This window comes from Homo sapiens, chromosome 13 (assembly GCF_000001405.40).
Source record: "Homo sapiens chromosome 13, GRCh38.p14 Primary Assembly".
Taxonomy (NCBI): domain Eukaryota; kingdom Metazoa; phylum Chordata; class Mammalia; order Primates; family Hominidae; genus Homo; species Homo sapiens.
In genome coordinates this window covers 19,041,321-19,047,728 of record NC_000013.11, presented here as the reverse complement: position 1 = coordinate 19,047,728, position 6,408 = coordinate 19,041,321, and positions in this window count along the sequence as shown.

Here is a 6,408-nt window from a genome sequence, read left to right as displayed (position 1 = left end):
CGGCCTCGGTGCAGGTATCAATCACACCTGCTCCACTCTTCACACTTGCCTCCATTGGGAATGTGGGGCCCTGGCTCTGTCACCAGCTGAGGAATGGGTGTGAGTGGGCTCTGGGTCCACTTAGGACCCCTCAGGGCCGTGGCAGCTGGACCATGAGGCAGGCTTGTGGCTCGGTCCTGGCCTTCTGTGGAGGCACTGTGGCATCCCTGGGCCGCCCCTTCTGTCCCAGGTCCTGCCTGGCCACACCCTCAGATGAGAGCAGGTGGCTTCCTGCAGCCACCACCCTGTTCAGGTCTCCAGACTCTGCCCAGCAGCATGAGGAAACTTGCAGGAGGGTTTGCATTTATGTGTGATTTTCTTTCTCACTGTGCCCTTCATCAGAAGTTGCTCTTTTTTGGTTCTGATAGCAGCCAAGAGCTCTTTCACCCATAACCCTTTGCATTCTGGCCCTAGTTTGAGAAGGAAAAATGGTCCTTAGTCATGGCTGGTCAGGTTTCAGTAAGATTCTCCCATTGCTGCCTAAATGTGGAGCCCTGCAAATAAATTTTAATCTTTATTATTTAGGGAATATATTACTTTGGAGACAGACTAAGCTTTTGTAGCAACAAGACACCAAAATATAATGTCTTAATAAAAGCACTTTATTTCTCTCTTCAGTAACAGTGTGCAGCTGAGGGATCCAGGCTGGTGGGAAGCTCTGCTCCATGTCTTCTCCCAGACACCCATATTCAGTGGCTCTTACTCCCATACATGCTCAACATATGGCCTCTATACCTGGTTCCATGGGAACTACAAAGATGTTATTTTCCAAGCAACTTTAAGGAGGCGAGGAAGTGCCGGCAAGTCTGATCTTTAAAATGGTGACTAAATAGTAGTGTGGCTATAGAATTTATTGTCTAAACCCGAGCAACTTTGAGGGGAAAAGGGGAGTGCTAAACATACTTATATACTTTTTGAAATATTTATTATTAGCTAATAATTTATTTTTATTGTATCGGTAGCTCTAAATTGTTCTAAAGCAAATTATAAAATAGTTTTAAAAATAGCTTATATTTGTATGCCTACTTCCACAGAAAGGAAACTGTTGGCTGTGTTGTGTGCATCCAGAGAGGATTAAGAATAAGATTGGTTATGTTACTGGACGTTGTTCAGATACAAGCTTCTGTTACAGTGAGAACCCTTCTTGCTGTGCCCACACAGATGTCTCATGTGCTATGAGAGGAAATCAAGGGAGAGTCTGGAAGTGCAGAAACCATCAAGGCCTACCTTAATGCAACCATTAATAGCGTGGTTAAAAGTGAAAAATTCTGGGAAAAATCCTAAACTAGATAGGAAGATAGACTGATAGGAAACCTAGTTTTTTTTAGTTGGATAATTATATATCCCGATAAATCTCAAGGAACAATTCCAAAAGAACAAGAAAGTGAGAGCTAAACTTGTATCATGGGAATTCATTGTAAGTATTAAAGACATACGCGAACTTTGAAACTTTAACAGTTTTGAGATAGAGAAGAATATAATTATGACATTGTTATACAGAATATGTTCTTTATAATAAAATGTCTTTAATATTCAGGAAATTTATTTCTGTGTATTATGTGAAATAAGTATAACTTTTTTAAAGGTAAAAATTTCAAGCCTCAAACTCTGTTATTTAAGCCAGGATGATGAGAATGATTCAACACAAACACTGAGTAACTATCCAAATTGAATATGAAGAATTGTGTGGCAGTTATAAGCATAACTAAATCATGAAACTGGATTTAAGAAATATCGGTGTGCAGCAAAGGGTAAACATTCAAATAGTAGAGAAATTTGGGAAACTTCAAATTTTGGGTGGAGGCAAGGACGATAAGGAGGACAAGAATAATTATCTAGGGAGGCTGGAGGAAAACTAAGAGAATATGGTGTCTGAAGAAAAGAAAAAATTTTTTCACATTAAATGAAATAACTTTATTTTCTTGTTTTTTGATGTGAAGAACCTGGTAGAGGAATTAAGAAATTTCAGATGCAGAAAAAGAAGAGTATTGCTGGAATGATAGGCATGAGTAGATAACAGGTGTGATGGTTAATATTGTCACCTTGATTAGATTGAAGGATGCAAAGTATTGTTCCAGGATGTGTCTGTGAGCGTGTCACCAAAGGAGGTTAACAGTTGAGTCAGTGAACTGGGAGATGCAGACCCACCCTCAGTCTGGGCGGGCACCCTCTAATCAGCTGCCAGCACAGCTAGGATAAAAGCAGGCAGAGGAACATGGAAGGGCTAGACTGGCTAAGTCTTTTGGCCTTCATCCTTCTCCCATGCTGGATATTTCCTGCCCTCAAGAATCAAACTCCAAGTTCTTCAGCTCTTGGACTCTTGGACCTACACCAGTGGTTTGCGAGGGGCTCTCGGACCTTGGGCCACAGACTGAAGGCTGCACTGTTGGCTTCCCTACTTTTGAGGTTTTGAGACTTGGACTGGCTTCCTTTCTCCTCAGTTTGCAGACGGCCTGTCGTGGGACTTCACCTTGTGATTGTGTGAGTTAATACTCTTCAATAACTCTTTTTATATATACATTACCTATTAGTCCTGTCCCTCTAGAGAATCCTGACTAATAAAACAAGAGGCAGGCCTTAGTCATAGTAAGAGGGGTGGACGTTATTTAGAAGCAAAGACAGTTCACCCATATGGAAAAGAGAGATAACAGAATGTAGGTATGGATTTATGAAGGTGAGCAGATGTAGTGACTGGAGACTTTGAAGTTCTTCTCAAATTACCACTTTTTTTTACAAGTGAAATAGAAAACAAAGTCATCAGCAAAGAGTGAAAATGGGAAGGAGAGAAAATAAACATGAACTGTTACTCTGGGAAAGGATGAGAGTGAATGGAGCAGGGAATATTATTTTTTTCTAGGAAATATAAAGACATGAGCTTTGTGATCATGAATTTCAGTTGAAACAAATCAACCTGATTCCCTCTTACTCTATTTTAAATTTTAGTTTTATTTATTAAAAAATCTGAACATAATATCCATAATTAGAGTATTGTACAGAAGAGTTTCACTGCCCTAGAATTCCTCCGTGCTCCACCTGCTCATCCCTCTGTCCCCCGTTACTCCTGGCAACCACTGATTTTTTTTAACTGTCTCCATACTTTTGCCTTTCCCAGAATGTCATGTAGCTGGAGTCATACAGTATGTAGCATTTTCTGATTGGCTTCACTCAGATAGAAACATGTAATTGAGATTCCTTTATTTCTTTGTATGGCTTGACAGGTCATTACTTTTTAATGTTGAATAATATTTCATTATTTGGATATATTAGTTTATCCATTTACCTAATTAAGGATACCTTGGTTACTCCCAAGTTTGGCAATTATTAAGCTACTATAAACATTCTTGTGCAGGTTTTTGAGTGGACATGCTGTCACCTTCTTTGTGTAAATACTAAGGAGCATGATTGCTAGATTATATGAGAAGAGTTTGCTTCGTTTTGTAAAAAGCTGACGAATTGTCTTCCTAAGCGGTGTAGCGTTTGCATTCCTACCAGCATCACCAGCATTTGGTGCTGTCTGCCTTTCCTATTCATCAGGCTCCATCTTCATAATTTTTCTGCACTTAAACTTTTAAAATAAAAGTCGTCATTTCATCCCCTGCTTCATTTCTTAAACATCCTTTAATGAGTACCTTAAAGTCAGAAATCTCCAGAAAATGAAAGTGTTAACCATATATTGAGAGCTAAAGACTGCAGAGCCAAGGGGTGATACTAAGTTGGTGATGATTTAAAACCCCAGTTGAAAAATTCTTATAGCTAAAGAAGAGGTATGATATTTTCATATATATTTCCTTCTCTTTCACATGTGTAAACTTAAGATAGTCTGGAGTATTGTATTCTTGGGAAAATCAGAGCTGTTTAAAAAATTGTTGTTTATAATGTTTAGAAATTTAGACCTAACATTTTCATGGTAATTAGACTAGAGTAGACTTAGCTAAACAGAGCCATTTATTAGCCTTTTGTACATACTGCTTTAGACAGATATATTAGATAATAAAATACTGAAGGAAAATAAAATAGTGTAAAACTACTTTGAGGAAGTATCCAAGAAAATAAGATAATTGTGGCATTTCTACTATCTACACTCAATTTAGAATAATAATAGGGTAATAAACATCACTGGTAGGTAAACCCACTGTGATAAGAAGCATGAAAGTATAGGTAGCAAATTTCAGTGAAGAATATTAATATTCATTAATGAGCTCATACAATCAAATGCTTAAAACCAAAGTACTTCAGTATCTCAGAGATTTAAAGGATTTTTTTGTGTGTGTTTTGTTTTGCTTTGCTTCTTGCCAGCAGCCTTCTCCTTATTAATATAACAGTAAGAGGCCAGTGAAAATTCATATGAATAATTCTGTAAACAGATATTTTGTAGAACTAAATATCAATGTTCATAATTTATTATTGTAAATTATTCACCAAAATGAAAATCTAAAAAAGGGTGATTTGAAAGGAAGGAAATATTAAGGGAAGTAGAATAAGTATTTACCTAAGTCATAAATTAGATGAAAAATATTTGCAACCAGTAAGAGTTCCTCAGACATTTCCCAACAGGAACAAAATGGGTATACAGTGTGGATGGTAAGAATGGTTACCGCCTGCTTGTGTACCTTTTGGAAAGCACAATATGGGGAATGTAGTAGCTCGGTTTAGAGCATGTGAATGTCTATCTCTTTCTAAAAGTGCATCGAGGAGTTTGGGAACTGATTTTCCAAGACAATCAAGCACAAAGCAAAAAGTATGTATGTAGAAGTCATAGTACTGGATTTTAGTTCTTATTTCATCATTTAACTGTACAAGACTCCAGCAGCTAACTGAACTTGTGCAACTTCATCCTCTCATCTGCTAGTATGAATATTAATAACTATTTCACCAAGTTGTAAGAATCAGTGTGTTAGCATACATAATGGGACTTGGGCAATGTTTGAAATATAGAAAATGCTCAATAAATGAGACATACTATCTTATTAAACTCCGACCATCGGCCATAGATCAGTGGATGTTCTCTCCAGAGTTAGAGAGAGAAATTCTGCATCATTGTGGGCTTTTAAAAATTATTAGCTTACTTAATAAGTTGTTATTTTAAATTTTATTATTTTAATAAACTATATACATATATGTATATATGCACACATATACATAAGTGTGTGTGTATATATACACATATACACATATATATACACACACATATATATATTATTCAGGGCTCTCCAGAGAAATAGAATCAATAGGACACACAGAAATATATAAGGAGAGACGCATGATGGGAATCAGCTCACATTTATTATTGTGGAGGCCCACAAGTCCAATGTTCTGCTGTCTGTGAGCTGGAGAACCCATCCTCTGCTTTTTCTATTGGAGCAGCCCCTAATGAATTGAATGATGCCCACCAACAATGGTGAGAGTGGACCTCTTTTGCTCCTGATTGCTTACTACAGGTTCAAATGCTAATATGGAAACATCTTCACAGACACTCTCAGAAAGAGTGTTTCCCCAGCTATCTGGGCACTCCTTAACCCAGTCAAGTTGACACATGAAATTAATCCTCAGGCCAGCACAGAGGCTCACACCTGTAATTCCAACACTTTGAAAGGCTAAAGTAGAAGACTTACTTGTGGCCAGGAGCAAAGAATAGCCAGGGCAACATGAGGAGATGCTGTCTCTACCAAAAATAAAAAACAAACACACACACAGCTGGGCATGGTGGTACACAACTGTAGCCCCATCTACTCAGGAGGCTGAAGTGGGAGGATATCTTGAGTTCAGGAGTTTGAGGTGACAGTGAGCTGTGATGACACCACTGCACTCCAGTGTGGGTGACAGACAGACTCTCTGAATTTAAAAAAATTAACCATGATATAATTCAACATAATATGTTTAATAATGTATATTCAATATTGTACCATTTAAACTAATAAAATGCTTGTTGTGCATGTATCACCTCAGGAACTTTCCATGTAATTCGTTAATTTTAAATTATTTCTGATTATTTTATTCCCTAGCTGTAAGATCCTCCTTATAAGATTATGAGAGATTTGGATAGAAATTTGGTTTCATCTCCAACAATTTATAGCACAAATTTGTCTTGTAAATAAAATCCAACCAGTAAAGACATAAAACAAGTTAAAATATTAGCTTTATTGTAAACTGAAAATGAAAATTTAATCAGTAATATTTTGAATCATGTGCGTTTTATTTTCTTTTAGTAACAATCCCTGGAATTAAAAAGAATCATGCATGGCTCAGTTGTTTAAATGACAAGAGAAGGGACATTTGTTAAAACCCTTTTTACATTTAATAATGTTTGTTACTGTGATATAAAAAATTATGTTTGCAGTTACTTATTAGTTTCTTTAATTGTATCCTGGC